This window comes from Homo sapiens, chromosome 21 (assembly GCF_000001405.40).
Source record: "Homo sapiens chromosome 21, GRCh38.p14 Primary Assembly".
Classification (NCBI taxonomy): domain Eukaryota; kingdom Metazoa; phylum Chordata; class Mammalia; order Primates; family Hominidae; genus Homo; species Homo sapiens.
The window spans coordinates 34,380,177-34,396,151 of record NC_000021.9 but is presented as its reverse complement, the minus strand read 5'-3'; the positions used below and the strand labels follow the sequence as shown (position 1 = coordinate 34,396,151).

Sequence of the window (15,975 nt, the reverse complement as noted above, 5' to 3'; positions counted from 1 at the left end):
AGCGATAAAAAAGGAATGTTTTTAGGTTATCAGCTAAAGATAAACCAACAGGAGCTATTTTTGTTTGAAAACTAAAGCAATTTAATAAAACAGATTTAGAGTTCTATTCCTTTGAGGCCTTGTAAAAATTATTAGAAAAGAGGAAAGAAGGATCAAAAGGAATACCCTTTAATGTGCAATTTGGTTACATAAGATTGTATTCATAATTAAGAAATGTTGCTTTATACTAAACCTGAAAACTTCCCATAGAAAGTAACAGAAAGTTCACCGGGCTTTTGGAATTGGATGGACCTAGTTGGAATCTTGAGTTTCTAGCTTCGTAGCTATATGTTCTGGATAAGTTGCTTTACTTCCTTGAGGCTCAATCAACTCCTTAATAAAATACAGTGGGACTTTAAAATCACATAACCTGGCCAGGAGCAGTGGCTCATGCCTGTAATCCCAACACTTTAGGAGGCCAAGGTGGGCGGATCATTTGAGGTTGGGAGTTCGAGACCAGCCTGGCCAACATGGCAAAAACCCATCTCTACTAAAAATACAAAAATTAGCCTGGCATGGTGGCACATGCCTGTAATCCCAGCTACTCAGGAGGCTGAGGCAGAAGAATCGCTTGAACCTGGGAGGCGGAGGTTGCAGTGAGCCGAGATCATGCCACTGCACTCCAGACTGGGTGACAGGGCAAGACTCCATCTCAAAAAAAAAAAAAAAATCACATAACCTGCGCCAAGCCACTGCATTGTGTCTGGCACCCACTGAGTGAGTGGTCCATGGTAAGGTCGAAGCAAACATGTCCACAATTAGACCTGCCATCACTGATCTCATTTCCTTTTCACTCTTTGAGAAAAATTTTTGTTCCTTTTTATCGCTGGCATCTAATGAGGGTGGACACATCTTAAGATACTTTGATCAGAGGAAACTTTGTTCTCTGGCATTTCCTTTAAGACCATCTGCAATATCTGCAATCGGTTAGGGAATTAATAATAAGAAGAGGTTTCTTCTGGTGGGGGTGGGACAGGATGGCTGGTGAGGACAGCCCACAGTCTCTTTGGGAGCAGCCATATTTAGAGCACTGTATTTAGTTAAGAGCGGGTGACCACACGCAGCAACGCAGGGCTGAGCCACATATCTCTAGACATGTCCACTAGAAGTGAGCTCCTGATGTTGGTGGCACTATTCTCCTTCTGAGTGGTTGGCTGATGGAACATCCCAGCCTCTCTGGCCTTCCCCATCACTAATACCCACAGCCCCTCTCCCTCCCACGGATCAAGGTGGCTTTCAAGGTGGGGGTGCATTAGGAAATGGTGCTGCCCCTACAAGGACCTAAGAGGTAAATTAGCAAATGGGGTTCGTTGGCCATTGGCTCAATCCAATTGGGTTGGATGGAGCCCCTGCCTGGCCAACTGGTGGCTGAGTTGCCCACCGAGGTAGTATACACTCCTTCCATTTGTGATTGTCCTGCCACATGCAAACCATCTTTACATGCTTGACCTCATTCAGTTCAGACAAACACTGTACAGTAGGGAGGGCAGTGATCATTGAGCTCATTTTACAAAGGCCAGGCTAGGGTGGTGACCGACTCACCTAGCCACGTACGTAACAGTAGTAACAGGAGGGTCAGGACCAGAATCCAAGTCTTCATATCAGGAAGCCCTTGCGCCCATCTCTAACTGGCTCCATGTGTCAGCTAAAACAGGTGAACTATGAATAGACCACAGAGATGCCAACAAAATAGAAGCTACCCCACCACCACCACCAAAAATAAGAAGTGTCAAGGTGTCAGTTCAGGGGTGAAATGATGGATCCATGGTCACTGAGAGCCCAAGATCCTATCTTTTTACTCCATTGTCCTAGATTTGGTTCAGGTCTCAAACTCACCTCTTAGTCCAAAGTGGCTGCGGAACAAGCGATTGCATTAGTATTCCAGGCAGCCAAAAAGGAGAAAGGGAGGAAGAGGGGCCCATCCTGTCCCTTTTAAAGATCCTTCCAGGAAGTCCCACACTACACTTCCACTTAAACCTGATTGGCCAGGCTTGGTTGCGAGAGAAGGTGGGAAATGTAGTCCTTTATTTTGAGTGACCATACGGCCAGGTAAAAGTCAGGGTTCTATTACTAGGGAGAAGGGGAGAAGGAACACTGAGGAAGGCAGCTAATGGTCTTGGCCATACTCCCTGCTCCCTTTCCTCTGGTGCTACCAGTCATTCACTCATCAAATACTGGAGCACCTTCTGTGTGCCTGGCTGGGTGCGTCAGGGCCAGGAGTACCAAGGAAAACAAGCCTGGACCCTCAAGGTCCAGGTCTGGTGTGGAGGTGGGGGCCACCTCCCACTCAGTGAGATGTTGGAGGTTTGCGTAGTGAGAGCTGAGTCCAGGGCCTGGCGCTGAAGAGCTGTGGGCAGGGTTGCAGGAAGAGGTGAAACTGAAGTGGAGGACAGAAAGAAGAATGGGGATTTCACCACAGAGAGAAAAGGAGGAAAAGAGGAAGGCCCACCCAGGCAGAAGCGCAAGTGGACCAAGCCTACCGCTGACCCAGCATTAAACAAAAATTATGGGAGGCTATTGTTTTGGACTGAGATCCTGCACTAGGCCCCAACAGACCAGATCAAACCAAACCAAAATGGAGTCAGTCATGCTAAGAGCCATATAATCAACCCAAAACTTTAATAAGGAAGCAGGTAGGTCCCCAAACAGATTAGTTTTTCCTGAAAACAGGAGCTTCTGGTCTACCTGAGTCAGCGTGATTAGGAGGTCCTGAAGTAACCTGATGTTAACCCATCAGCTTCTTTTCTATTGTTCTGTTTCCTTGTCCCCACCTTACAAAGCCCACTGTTCTGCAATTGTCCGGTGGGAGCTCTTGCTCTGTTTTATAGAAGGGAGGCTGCCCCATTCATGAATCAAGAATAAAAGACAATGAGGTCTATGACTAAACGTGTTGCAGTTTTGTCTTTTGACATTGGGCACAGGGTGCGTCTGTGAGTGATGTGTGTGTGTGCGGTGTGTGTGTGTGTGTGTGTGTCCGTGAAAGCCATCTGGGTGGGAAATGCAAGCAGAATGAACAGAAGAATGGAAGTGTAGATAGGAACAGGATGGAAAAAGATACAACAAGCAATGCTGGCCTCTGTCACCATCGTGTCACTGATGCTGACGTCTTGAAGATTTTATGTCCCAGACTTCGAAGTACAAAAACTCGCTTTACTTTACTTGGCTCAGACTCGACCGCACAGCTGTGAAAAGTCCAGTCTCACAGTGAGACCATGAGGGCTGGTTCCTGTCTCTGCCTCCCACCAGCTGGGGGACCTTAGGCAGGGCCTCTCTGCCTCAGTTTCCTTATCTGCGAAAAGGGGATAATGATACCGTTACCCTCTGTGGAGGCAGCTGTGAGCTCTTGGGGAGTAAGGGCTGAAGGATTTGCTGCCTCGCGTGCGCTGTCTCCTGCCCCTCCTCCCACCTTTCCCGATGGCTCCTTCCCAGGTTGGGCTCCTGCTGCCTCTCCCTCTGCCCATCTTCTACAGTGTAGGTCTCAAAAGGAGGGTCAAGAATTGCCTGGGGATGTTCGTATCACAAATTCCTGGTCCTTCTCCTGCAGGTTCTGATGCAGTGGACCTGGAATCCAGCCCAGGAGTCTGCATTTTATTTTTATTTTTATTTTTTAGGTTGGTTTTTTTTTTTTTTTTGACACAGAGTCTCACTCTTTTACCCAGGCTGGAGTGCAGTGGTGCGATGTCTGCTCACTGCAACCTCCACCTCCCGGGTTCAAGCAATTCTCCTGCCTCAGCCTCCGGAGGAGCTGGGATTACAGGCATGCACCACCACGCCCAGCTAATTTTTGGTTTTCTTTTAGTAGAGACAGGGTTTCACCATGTTGGCCAGGCTGGTCTCAAACTCCTGACCTCAGGTGATCCTCCTGTCTCGGCCTCCACTAGGATTACAGGCATGAGCCACTGCACCAGGCCAGAGTGTGCATTTTAAATGGCCTCTCCTGCTTGCTCATGTTTGAGAACTCATCCTCCTTTCTCTTCTCCTTCTAGACTCTCCACCGTCCATCCTCTGGCTTCACTCTGACACAGATGAGATCTGCATGGGGGAGCTCCCTCATGGTGTGATGGTGCGTGTGTTTCCGGCAGTGGGTCAGGAGCTCTCCAACGTCAGGCCTGGGTCCCTGCCATCTCTGCCTGTGGGGCCTGGCACAGAGCAGGGCACTAAGCAAAGCCCCAGGAACATTTGTGTAATCAACTCGGGGTGAGGTGGAGAACTCTAAAGATCCAGGCATCTGGAAGTCTTCGGGAATGAGACATTGACAGCTACGTTTCCCTATAGACAGAATTTGAAGAAAGCTTGGGCAGAGGCAACGCTTTTGAAAGAATCCCAGACTCTTTGTTTGAATTATTTGGTTTCTGAGATTCCTCACGTATGTCTGTGTTATGTATGTGCTTGTTAAACAGACTGTGTGAAACGGCTGAACCTCTTCTTCACGCCTGAGGTCATCACCATGAACATAACATCATCACGTGTGGCATCCCATGTGGGACGCTGTGGCTGCCGCAGTGTCTGGCGCATGAAGAGCACACGGTGAGTTCTCAAGTCTGCTTCTCAAAGACCGTCCCTCTTGCTCAAAGGTATTTCTGCTGCTGACAGCCTTTCTTCCTTTCTGTTTCTAATATGTTGTAAGCTTGAAAACCAAACAAATGTGTTGCGAATGTGTGAATGTGTGTAATAGATCAAGCAGGATGTGCATGAGGGACTCTGGGGCTCTCCGTGGGTGGAGAATGTGGATGTCGGCTTCTGGCCTTCACAACGCATTTCAGGTCCTTTGTGTTTGTTCTCGGTCATGGTCCAGCGGGTTGAGGGATTGCTTTGGTCCAGGTGGGGTCCTGCTAGTGGGCTTTACCAGTCTCTACAACCAGCGGTGCATGCATCCACCCAATAATTTAACATCAAACTACACATCTACCAACTTCATGTACCTAAGGAGTGGAATGATAGCAAGAACTCCGCCTTGAAAACCCCTAACCTCTGAGCCTTCAGAGAGACCGATTTGAATAAGAACGCCATCTCCTGCGCGGCCTGCCTTACTGCAATTAAACTCTTTCTTTATTGAAACAAACAAACAAACAAACAAAAAAACCCAAAACATAAAAAACGAACAAAATCCCTTCAATTAGTGATTAATCATCTCCCCCTAGTGGTAGAAGGGTGCATAGGAAAAGTAACCAAGCAAAAACAAAACTCCCAAATGCTCTTCAGAAAAAACCTACACCCAGCCTGGGCAGTACAGCGTGACCCTTGTCTCTAAACAAAAGATAAATAAATTAGCAGGGCCTAGTCCCAGCTACTCGGGAGGCTGAGGTGGGAAGATCGCTTGAGCCCAGGAGTTCAAGGCTGCAATAAGCTATGATTGTACCATTGCACTCCAACCTGAGGGACACAGCACGTCCTCATCTCTAAAAAAACAAAAGCAAAAACAAAAAACAGAAAAGCCACGGGCACTGTTGGGATGATCAGTGGTTTAGTCCAGTCCTTATGTCACCTTCTACCTAATTTTCCAAGATGGCCAGATCTTCCACAAATTCCAAAGTGTAGCTTTAAATCCCAAAGCCTAGAAAAGCGCTTGTGTTTAGCACATGAGTGTCTACTGGTCAGCAGATCCCCCGCCTTGGACTTATGAGGCACACAGGCGGGTGGGCATGAGGGAGGAAGTGGTGCCAAGGTAGCAGGTCTGATGCCAGGCAAGGCAGGAGCAGGTGATACCCTACACCTGCAGGGTGGGCAGCAGAGAGGCCAGGCCCCTGGGGCAGGAACATGGGCCAGGGTGGGTGGGGTAACCTGCCAGGGTGCAAGGAGGCCCTGACAAAGGGAGGATGGTAGGCCACGGCCCAGGGTCAGTTCTAGGCCCCATCTGAGCATGTCACGAAAGCGTGGGGATGGCAGAAATCCAAGGGCATCCCACCTCTGCTGTGGTCTTCCATTCACGTTCTAACAGGACCCCAGGCCGCAGCAGGATTAGGCAGAATAAAGTCACCAGGGCTCCTGGCAAAGGCTGGAGCGGCCTCCTTCAGAGAGAATGAGGTCTGGGCTTACGTGAAAGTCCACTTTGACTATGGTGAGCACTGCAGCTTGTAGGAGCAGGGTCTGTCTGTCCTCAGAACTTTGTAAATTCTTTCCTGCTTCCTAAATTGTCCTGAAGAGCATCCAGCAAGCACAGTGCAATTTAAGATGGAACTCCCCTGACTCCCCACATGGAAAACGCATGTTCGACACAAACTGGGCCAGGACGGGGAGACGTTTACTAACACACACTCCTGCAAGTTTCCCATGCAGCCATCAGCAACCAGACCAAACACTCCGCACTGCTTCCAGTGCCAGCTGCTGCCACCTCACTCCCCATCCACTCTGGGGTCTTGCGAAGAAGTGGGAGAGCATGAGCTCTTGTCACAGGGATCTGCGTGTGTTAGGTGCTGAGTAAAACATCTTCCCATCCTCCCTGCCCTTGGTTCCAGTGGCTCCTAGGGTGCCCTACCCTTCATTTCTCATCAGCAAATCCCAAGGAGCAAACAGGTGAGGAGAGGACAAAACACACCCTAGGGCTCCCAACGATTCCTCCCTGCGAGGACCCTCATGGTTAACACAGGAGTCACCTTTCCTGGACACACACAGCCTCCCTCCACCCTAACAATGAAAACACTCCAAAACACTCTCACAGGGGTGTAGCACCTGTAGGAGGAAAAGACGAGAAAGGAGGGTATGGGAGGGCAGCCTATGAGGGGGCCTGGGGTCGGGGGTAGCTGGCCGAAGCACCCAGTGCTGGGGACCCCACTCCCACAGCAGATGTTTCTGCACCACCTTGTCCTCTATGGAAGCCTCTCACCTGGGACCCCCCAGCTTGAGATGGTGGGGGAGGTGTAAGTTTACAAAACCCCCCGCTTTACAACACGGGGTAGAGGGTGCTGTGTAAGAGAAAGAGAAAGAGATACACAATTTGACTTATTCCAAAGGCCACGACTCCTTTTTTTACAAAGGCATTTTATTTTAGTAAACAAAATACTGGTTATTATTATTTTTTTTAATTTTAATTTTACCTTTTTTTTTTTGGAGACGCAGTCGCTCTGTCACCCAGGCTGGAGGGCAGTGGCACGACCTAGGCTCACTGCAACCTCCACCTCCCGGATTCAAGCAATTCTCCTGCCTCAGCCTCCCGAGTAGCTGGGATTACAGACGCGCGCCACTACACCTGGCTAATTTTTATATTTTTAGTAGAGACAGGATTTTACCATGTTGGCCAGGCTGGTCTCAAACTCCCGATCTCAGGCGATCCACTCGCCTCGGCCTCCCAAAGTGCTGGGATTTCAGGTAAAAGCCAGCATACCCGGCCAGTACTGGTTCTTTTAAAAACATATACAAATTCACACTATTTTAAGTGAAAGGTCTAGGTTGGGAGTTTATCCTCTGACAAATTATTCAATAATTAAGTCTTTCTTCTCTTTCTTCTCAGCTGGAGTCCACTCAAGCTGACATTTACATGGCAGAATCTAGAAGGGAATACCAAAGGGATGAGTAGGAAATGTTTGATAAGAGTATACCCGATGTTTACTGCTCAGCATAAAGACGTATGCTCAGCCATTTAAACTTAACAAGCGGACACCACTCAAGTCTATCACTCAAGTCTATTTATTAACCAATGTATTTTTAGCATCAGTTTCCCTTCCATCTGAAACACCCCACCCCCCTTTTATTTATTTATTTATTTTTTGAAACAGTCTCACTCTGTCACCCAGCCTGGAGTGCAGTGGCACAATCTCAGCTCACTGCAACCTCTGTTTCCCAGGTTCAAGTGATTCTCGTGCCTCGGCCTCCCAAGTAACTGGGATTACTGGCACGTGCCACCACGCCCAGCTAAGTTTTGTATTTTTAGTAGAGATGGGGTTTCGCCATGTTGGCCAGGCTGGCCTTGAACTCCTGACCTCAAGTGATCCACCCGCCTCGGCCTCCCAAAGTGCTGGGATTACAGGCGTGAGCCACCGCGCCCGGCCTGAAAACGCTTTTTGTTTGAAGCAAGTCTCTAGTCTTTAAGAAGCTGCCAGCCTAGAGAGGAAGACCAACTCCCTGAGTTGCTTCTAAGCCATCCAGGCCTGACTTAAATGCAGGTCTCTGCTGATGTTTGTGGGAGGAACAAAGCCTTTATGATCTTCCATCTCATCTTTTCTTCCTTTGATCAGTTTAGCACACAAAATGGGATTGTCAGGAATATAAATTCAATCAGCAACATTTTAATTTAAACTGCCTTCCCTCACCCTTTTTAATTTCTCTCCTCCCCATCGTAATGCCTACTCCTAAATTTCAGTCAATCAAACACCTTAAAAAAAAAAAAAAAAAGAAAGAAAGAAAGAAAGAAAGAAAGTAACTTCTTCTATCTAGCAAAAGCCTACAGTTCACTGGGGACCAGCGAGTGGGCAGCTGCCGGAAGTGGTGAGTAACAGAGTGAAGCATCCCTACGAGCTCACTTGCCTGTATTCAGGAAGGTAGCACAGCTTGGGCTTGGCCATGCTGATCGAATGCATTTGACCTGGGATCAATTTCTGACTCTGTTCTTCACCATGTAGAGAGAGCCATTCTTTCAATCTGAACATGCCTCACAGAGTCATCAGGGCTGAATAACACAGTTGTGCATGAATGCTTAGCAAAGTCCCCAGCACAGAATAACCACTTAGTAGGTGTTGCTACTATTCCTCATCAGTAGGTCTTTAGCCTCAACAAGCCTGACGGCACTGCAAGGGAATTCAGCATGGAATCTCAGAGTGGGCTGGGTTTGGGAGGCCACCTAGCCCAGTGGTTCCTACAATGACCTGTTGCTGAGAAGACAACCTAAGGATTATCTAATGGGTTTTCAAAAGAACAGAGGCTGGGCACAGTGGCTCACACCTGTAACCTCAGCACTTCAGGAGGCTGAGGCGAAAGTATCGCTTGAGCCCAGGAGTACAAGACCAGCCTGGGCAACACAGCAAGACCCCTTCTCTACTAAAAATTGTTTTAAAAACCTAGCCGGGTGTGGTGGCGTGCTCCTGTAGTCCTACCTACTCGGGAGGCTGAGTTGGGAGGACTGCTTGAGCCCAGGAGGCTGAGGCTGCAGTGAGCCGAGATTGTGCCACTGCACCGCTCTAGCCTAGATGACAGAGTAGGATCCCCTATCTTAAAAACAACAACAAAAACCAACACCCAAACCTAACCAGAGCCATTATGGAATCTCTCTGGGCTGAAGCTGGGAATCTTCATTTAAACAAACACCTGGGCAATTCTGATCATTAGCTAGGTTTGGGAACCACAGATCTAGAACCCCACCGCCACCATATTTGAATCCTTTTTTTTTTTTAGACAGGGTCTCGCTCTGTCACTCAGGCTGGAGTGCAGTGGTGTGATCATGCCTCACTGCAGCCTTGAACTTCTGGGCCTCAAGCAATCCTCCACCTCAGTCTCCTGAGTAGTTGGGACTACACACCCAGTAAGTGTGCAGCTAAGTTTTTTTTTGGTTTTTTTTTTTGGTTTTTTTTGTTTTTTTTTTTTAATTTTTGTAGAGACAGGGTTTCACTATGTTGCCCAGGCTGGTCTTGAACTCATTGGCTCAAGTGATCCTCCCACCTTTGCCTCCCAAAGCACTGGGATTACAGGCATGAGTCACCACACCTGGCTGAATCCCCTGATTTTTAAAGTACAGAACTCAACCTGCAAAGTGAAGAAACTGCATCAACACACTGGAATCAAGGTAACTGTGAATTGTCATGTGTTAAATCTGTAACAGGGGCTTAACAGGAACTTTCTGGTGCCTTGATGTATTGTAACTCCCCAAGTGTGTTCTAAGCCCACCAGTGTGCACTGTGATAGGCACTGGGTGACAACGATGAGTGTACCCTCAGGCCTGGTGAGGAGGTCCTTGGGAAGAACCTAATAAGCAAGGCCAAAGGCCATGGTGGCTGAGGAATGGCCTGCAGGGGGATGGGGAGTGGGCACATGTGGCAAATGAGGTCTGGGTTAAGACCAGACTGGGAAGGGATTTATTTGTCATACCATGGAGTCAGACTTTATCTTAAAGGTAACAGGGTTTCTTAATCTTGGAATTTCAAATGACCTGTGACTCCCCACATCTGCAAACTTCTCCCCACACACAAATGCAGATGGTTTCAGTATGTGTGCTTCTCTGGGAAGAAGGTCCACAGCTGTCACTGAGTCCTCAATTCTTAACCCAATACCTGTCAAGAACCATTGCCACCGCAGGTTTCAAGAAGGATGAACTAATGCTCCGTGCACCTTGGCTCAGCAGCACTCACATCCCAGGACCAGGATCTGCACACCTGGCCCTTTATGGAGCAGTTCTACCTTAGAGAACAGGTGAGGCCACATGCCCCCACGCAGCCCTTCAGACCCGACGGACAGGGAGGTCTCAGACCTCTCTTGTTCATTGATTGGTCACCCCAACCCACTGGCCAGCTCCCATTTGCAAGGTTGGGTACTGTGGACTCACCTTCAGTTATCTTTTTTCTCTGATTGCTTCTTCCTTTCAGCCTCCAGTTTTTGTTGTTTTGCCTCCAACCTTTTTCTTTGATACATTTTCACCCCAGCAAATGTCAGGCAGAGAATTAATGTTTTTGCTGCCAAGATATACAGCAGCAGGGGCACGTGCTCAAGAACCTTCAAGAAGAAAGAAGCCATGCTAACTAAATGTTCCATCACCGATATGGGAGGTTTCTTTTATGATCCTTCAGTCAACAAATATTTACTTAGCACCTATTCTGCAACAGGCACGAGGATAGGGGGCTGGAGCTACACTGGAGACCAAGCAGAAAAGGTCTCTATCCCCATGGGGCCAACAGTCAAGTTACAGCTCTGCTCTTTGCTGCTTGCTTGCGGCTGGCTTCATGGAGGGGACCACCGGTCATCCACAGGCGTGGGGACTCTGGTCTCTCACAGCTCAACCGTGCAACCTGCTGATCACCCAGGCCCTTGCTTCTGAGGCAGCAGCCAGATCCAGTGAAAGGAGCTGGAGCCCGGAGGCCTGGGTCAGAGCTCTACTTTACCACCGACTGACCGTGTGACCTGGGTCAGGCAATGAGCTCCTTTCTTTCTGAGCTCCTGCCCCTTCATCTACAAAGTAAGGGTGAATCAGACCTTGCTTCTGGAAACTGCAGCTTTAGTACTCTGGGATTTTCTCTTGTTTCTAGAGACTCACTAGCACTGGCACTTGCTGGTAAAATAAAACACGACAGAACTCAAAACATTAAAACATGGCTACTTACTAACTGCTCTTGCAACCCCATTCACTAAAATAAAGTCTAGGGAAACACTATGCATTTGAATTACTCACTCTTTGCACTAGTAGGTTTTTTGTGTGAAATTCTATATATTGCAAATAGTACTTCAAAGCAATATTAGTTCCATACACATGGTTAGCATGACCTGAATGATATGTATGTGCTTTTTGTGTGATTAAAAATTCCCTCCCAAATAGTGAAAAGGTATGCTCTGGTTGAGCAATCATTATTTTAGAGGACCAGGTAGGATTTTATCCCAATGAAATCCTTATTTCTGTCAATCACTTATTATATGAAATACCAATGAGATTCCACTGTGGGGGATACATGTGCACCTCCCTCTAATAGTCTAACCGAAGTTGATCTGAACCTAGTTAGTGTGTACAATATGCTCACAGAACCGGGGGGCTGGAAATAACTTTCAAGGGGACCTACTCAACCCCCTGGTTATATGAGCAAGGAAAGAAGAGCTCCTGGAGGTTGAGAGGTTGAAGGTCCCACAGCTCCCTCATGAGGAGCCAGTTGGAAGGACATTCTAACCCCGGGGCCAGTCTCCCTTCCACTGATGCCTGATTTTCAACAAACTGAAATTCATGAAATCACAGTGTATGTAGATGAATGTTCCTATGATTGTATCGAAACTCTTTATGACTCAGAACTAGATGTGGATTTCACGCTTAGAAGCTGTAGCATCAGCTGCTGTAGACTGGGAACTCACGGCATGCAAAGTGCCTTATGCGGCTTTCCCTTCTGCCCTTAGCCACCTCCATGAGCAGATGGCTCGCCCTGACTGCGGTGGAGCCGAGAAAATGCAGAGGCGGGGAGGCCAGCAGTCAGCGAGGCAGGGCTGACCCAGCTCCAAATGCTCCAAAGCCCAACTCTGTAGCATCACGCTGTCCTGTACTATATATGATTCATTCCTCACACCCATCCACTTCACATTTACAATATGCAAATACACTATGGCTTGGCTACTGAATTTTCCAGAGGCAACTAGACTCGCTACCTCTGAAATCATTTAACTGGTTATGTATGGATATTTGCAGAAGGATATAGCATGATATGATAGAAATACAATGAAAATCATGGGAGGAGGCAGGGACGCAAATACTTAAATCGTTTTAATTTTACTAAAACAGTAAGAACACAAGAACACTCAGTAATTAGCTAATAGTTTTCAACCATGATATCGTTTTAACAGTAAAGAATAAGCACAACACATACACTTCAGAAAGATCACTCTGGCATCAGTACAAAAGACTAAAAAGTTCCAAAAGTGAAACTTTTCAACTTTTTACTCTGGTAAATATAAGGAGCTTTAAACACTGACTTCATTTCCAGGTTCTTCTTCCCTCAGACCTAGGCTAATCCCCTCCCTCCAGTAAACCCTGAAATCCTGTTTTCTTGAAGGTTCACATTTTAGAGGTGAAGGTTTGACGCCATGCATACAAACCAGCTATGAAAAGAATGTTGTTGTATAAACTTCTTTTTGTTTGCTAGGATTTTCCAGGCTACCTGAGGCAATGACTCACACTGGGAAAAGCTAATCTCTTCCAGCTTTCTCAGTCTCTCTGAATAAACCTATGGGGCCCTATTATTATTATTATTTTTCTCGAGACAGAGTCTTGCTCTGTCACCCAGGCTGGAGTGCAATGGCACCATCTCAGCTCACTGCAACCTCCACCTCCTGGGTTCAAGCAATTCTCCTGCCTCAGCCTCCCAAGTAGCTGGGATTACAGGCATGCGGCATCATGCCCAGCTAATTTTTTGTATTTTTAGTAGAGACAGGGTTTCACCATGTTGGCCGGCTGGTCTCCAACTCCCGACCTCGTGATCCGCCCACCTCGGCCTCCCAAAGTGCTAGGATTACAGGTGTGAGCCACTGCACCTGGCCGGGGCCCTATTACTAATATAACAAAGCCCATGTTACTGCCCATAGCTGTCTACAATCCAGATAGGAAACTTAGCTTTAGCAATTGCAGGAATGTACTCTCTCATCCAGAAGTTAGAAAACCCATGGAAATGGAAACGCATCAGCCAATGGACCCTAGTGGGAGGCTTCAGTGTTCACTTTGTTTTACAGGCAGTGGAGACGCACGGCAAGAGGCAGAAGTGTGGACTGAGAAGGACGCAGCACAAGGGCAGCAGAGGTCAAGAACATTCACAGGGTAAAGCGAAGAGCTCCAGGGCCCCCTTCCTGCCCCTCTCTTAGGCACTAACCTTCAGTGGTATGAACCCCTTCCTCCAATTTCCTTTTAACAAACCCCTTACATCTCTTGAAACATACAGACCTTCAGGGAGGAAAATGAATGCTGCCAGGGTGGACTGGATCTATATGAATATTTTTTTGAGACTCCAACTAGGCTGGAGTACAGTGGCATGATCACGGCTTCCCACAGCCCTGACCTCCCAGGCTCAAGCAATCCTCCCACCTCAGCCTCCCGAGTAGACGGGACTACAGACACATGACACCACGCCCAGCTAATTTTTTCTGATTTTTTGTAGAGCTGGGGTCCCACTATGTTGCCCAGGCTGGTGCTGAACTCCTGGGTTCATGTGATCTGCCCACCTCAGCCTCCCAAAGTGCTAGGATTACAGGGGTGAGCCACCATGCCTGGCCTAGATCTACATCAATTTTTAAAAACAAAACCCCAATATCTGTGAAATGGGAATAACTAAGTTTTTAAATAATGAGGCCATACTTGTTGCTAACGCACAGGTAGCACTGTTGACTGTCGCTGCCGGCCATGGCCCACTGAGCCAGAGGGGGAAGGCCACCAGACGCACTGGGGGCTACTGAACCTTCCACCTTCTGCAGCTCTCTGCAATCAGGGCCATGACTGTCTTTCTTTTTTTTTTCTTTTGAGACAGGGTCTCACTCTGTCGCCCAGGCTGGAGTGCAGGGGCATGATCTCGGCTCACTGCAACCTCCACTTCCCAGGCTCAAGCAATTCTCCAGCCTCAGCTTCCCGAGTAGCTGGGACTACACGTACGCATCTCCATGCCCAGCTAATCTTTGTATTTTTTTGTAGAGACGGGGTTTCGCCACATTGTCCAGGCTGGTCTCAAACTCCTGAGCTCAAAGTGATCTGCCTGCCTCGGCCTCCCAAAGTGCTGGGATTACAGGCATGAGCCACCACGCCCGGCCTGCGGCCATTCCTTTCTAACACTACACGAGATGGGGCTGTGTTTAAACACGAAGCTGCTCCCTGGTAGCCACTTCCCTGGTGCAGAAGCTGGGAAGGTTTGGGCAGACTTTGTTCCTGATGGCAGAAAAAACTGTCACAAGCAAGACTGGCCCGAGTGGTCACATGGGTTGGTGTCACTCTACAATTAAAGAGGAAAACTTCCCACGCATTGCCTTCGACCAGTGTGCACCAGCACCGCCTGGAACTTATAAGAAGTGCAAATTCTCAGGCCCCAGCCAGATCTACCCAATCAGAAACTCTGGGAGTGGGGCTCGAAATCCTTGCCTTAACTAGTGCTCAGGAGTGAGAAACACCACCTTGAGGCATGAGGTTTAATGCTTTGAACCCTGGCCCTTAGTACCAGTTACTGCCTCTCTCCTCTACTGACTTAGCCACTGCAGTGGGCGAATGACCTCCCTAAACCTCACCCCACACTGCTTTCCGCTCCTTCCCCTCTCCATCCTCTCACTGCCTCTTCTTTCCTTCCCAACCTTTCCACTGTGAGCTCTGATCCTCAAGGCATGCTAAACAAACTGTTCTATATCTTCCCACCCTTCACAGCTCACTCACTCTGCCATCTTTAACTTACACAAGTTCCTGGGCCCTCAGCCCTCCTGCAGGGCCTGCCGAGCCCCTCACCCCACACAGCTGGGGAAGATGGGAAAGCTACCTTCCTGGCTCCCTGATCCTGCTTCCAGACCTTTCCAGTTTCTCCTTGCAATAGAAAACCACTGGATGTTTTGAAGAAAATGCTTATAATAATTGAAAAAACACGTAAAATAAGATCCTATGCATGAAAACACGCCACACATATATACAGAAAAAGATGAATATACCGAGATTGTTAATAGTAGCCATTTCTAGATGGTGAGACAATGTATGATTTTTGCTTGATATTAGACTTTGCAAAGTGACTATAATATATTTTAGTGGCTGCTCTCTTAAACAACCTCCACCTCACCTTATTGACTTCCGGGACTTAAGATGACATTCTCCTTTCCCTCGGTGGAACCTGATTGCTGACCTACTCTCTGGCTGCCCTTGAACTTCTGCTCCCACCAGCTGAATCTAATGTTTCACAGGGGTCAGGTGTGTTTACTCGCCAAGCAGTTTATTTAAGTTGTACTTGATACTATGTTCCATAACTTATTTAAACATTACGCTTGTGAAATATGACTGTGTAAAGCAAAAGTTTTTATGAAAACTAAGTTGAATACTTTGAAAGACTCAAGTTTGCGTTGGAAAAAAAATGCTGTTGGCAAGTCAACTGTAAAAGATTAGGAAAGAGTATGAAACACTGGAAAGATTTTGTGTATGCACTGCTCATAAGATCTTAATCCACTGTCTTAGTCAATTCAGCTCCTAGAACAAAGGACCACAGACTGGGTGACTTATTAAAGAGGTACTTGTCACAGTTCGAAAGGCTGAAAGCCTGAGGATCAGGGCGCAGTACAGGGGGGTTCTAGCGGAGTCCTCTTCCAGGCTGCTGACGG

The 15,975-nt window shown here is 47.7% G+C and overlaps 1 protein-coding gene across 2 annotated transcripts in view, besides 6 other annotated features; it reads right to left on the bottom strand.

Annotated features, from left to right (window-relative positions):
* Window positions 1-7,000: 7,000 nt before the first annotated feature.
* Window positions 7,001-15,975, bottom strand: part of SMIM11 (small integral membrane protein 11) — a 13,645-nt gene continuing 4,670 nt past the window's right edge. For both annotated transcript variants that reach the window (NM_001376899.1, NM_058182.5), the window contains exons 3-4: window positions 10,508-10,674; window positions 7,001-7,523 (exon numbers count right to left, since the gene is read on the bottom strand). In NM_001376899.1, coding sequence (NP_001363828.1) covers window positions 10,510-10,674 — 165 coding nt within the window. In that variant the 3' untranslated portion in view covers window positions 7,001-7,523; window positions 10,508-10,509. The remainder of the gene's footprint in view (window positions 7,524-10,507; window positions 10,675-15,975) is intronic.
* Window positions 10,435-10,955: an enhancer, noted in NCBI's record as "H3K27ac-H3K4me1 hESC enhancer chr21:35757495-35758015 (GRCh37/hg19 assembly coordinates)". NCBI's record gives its function as "activates a minimal SCP1, AML or CMV promoter by ChIP-STARR-seq in naive H9 embryonic stem cells {active_cell/tissue: H9 hESC(naive)}" and the evidence as "EXISTENCE:reporter gene assay evidence [ECO:0000049][PMID:30033119]".
* Window positions 10,956-11,478: an enhancer, noted in NCBI's record as "H3K27ac-H3K4me1 hESC enhancer chr21:35756972-35757494 (GRCh37/hg19 assembly coordinates)". NCBI's record gives its function as "activates a minimal SCP1, AML or CMV promoter by ChIP-STARR-seq in naive H9 embryonic stem cells {active_cell/tissue: H9 hESC(naive)}" and the evidence as "EXISTENCE:reporter gene assay evidence [ECO:0000049][PMID:30033119]".
* Window positions 11,564-12,069: an enhancer, noted in NCBI's record as "H3K27ac-H3K4me1 hESC enhancer chr21:35756381-35756886 (GRCh37/hg19 assembly coordinates)". NCBI's record gives its function as "activates a minimal SCP1, AML or CMV promoter by ChIP-STARR-seq in primed H9 embryonic stem cells {active_cell/tissue: H9 hESC(primed)}" and the evidence as "EXISTENCE:reporter gene assay evidence [ECO:0000049][PMID:30033119]".
* Window positions 11,667-11,961: an enhancer, noted in NCBI's record as "tiled region #8334; HepG2 Activating non-DNase unmatched - State 8:EnhW, and K562 Activating non-DNase unmatched - State 25:Art". NCBI's record gives its function as "activates a minimal TATA promoter and a strong SV40 promoter by Sharpr-MPRA in HepG2 and K562 cells {active_cell/tissue: HepG2 | K562}" and the evidence as "EXISTENCE:reporter gene assay evidence [ECO:0000049][PMID:27701403]".
* Window positions 12,070-12,577: an enhancer, noted in NCBI's record as "H3K27ac-H3K4me1 hESC enhancer chr21:35755873-35756380 (GRCh37/hg19 assembly coordinates)". NCBI's record gives its function as "activates a minimal SCP1, AML or CMV promoter by ChIP-STARR-seq in primed H9 embryonic stem cells {active_cell/tissue: H9 hESC(primed)}" and the evidence as "EXISTENCE:reporter gene assay evidence [ECO:0000049][PMID:30033119]".
* Window positions 12,090-12,139: a silencer, noted in NCBI's record as "silent region_13212". NCBI's record gives its function as "represses an Ori minimal core promoter by ATAC-STARR-seq in GM12878 lymphoblastoid cells {active_cell/tissue: GM12878}" and the evidence as "EXISTENCE:reporter gene assay evidence [ECO:0000049][PMID:35858748]".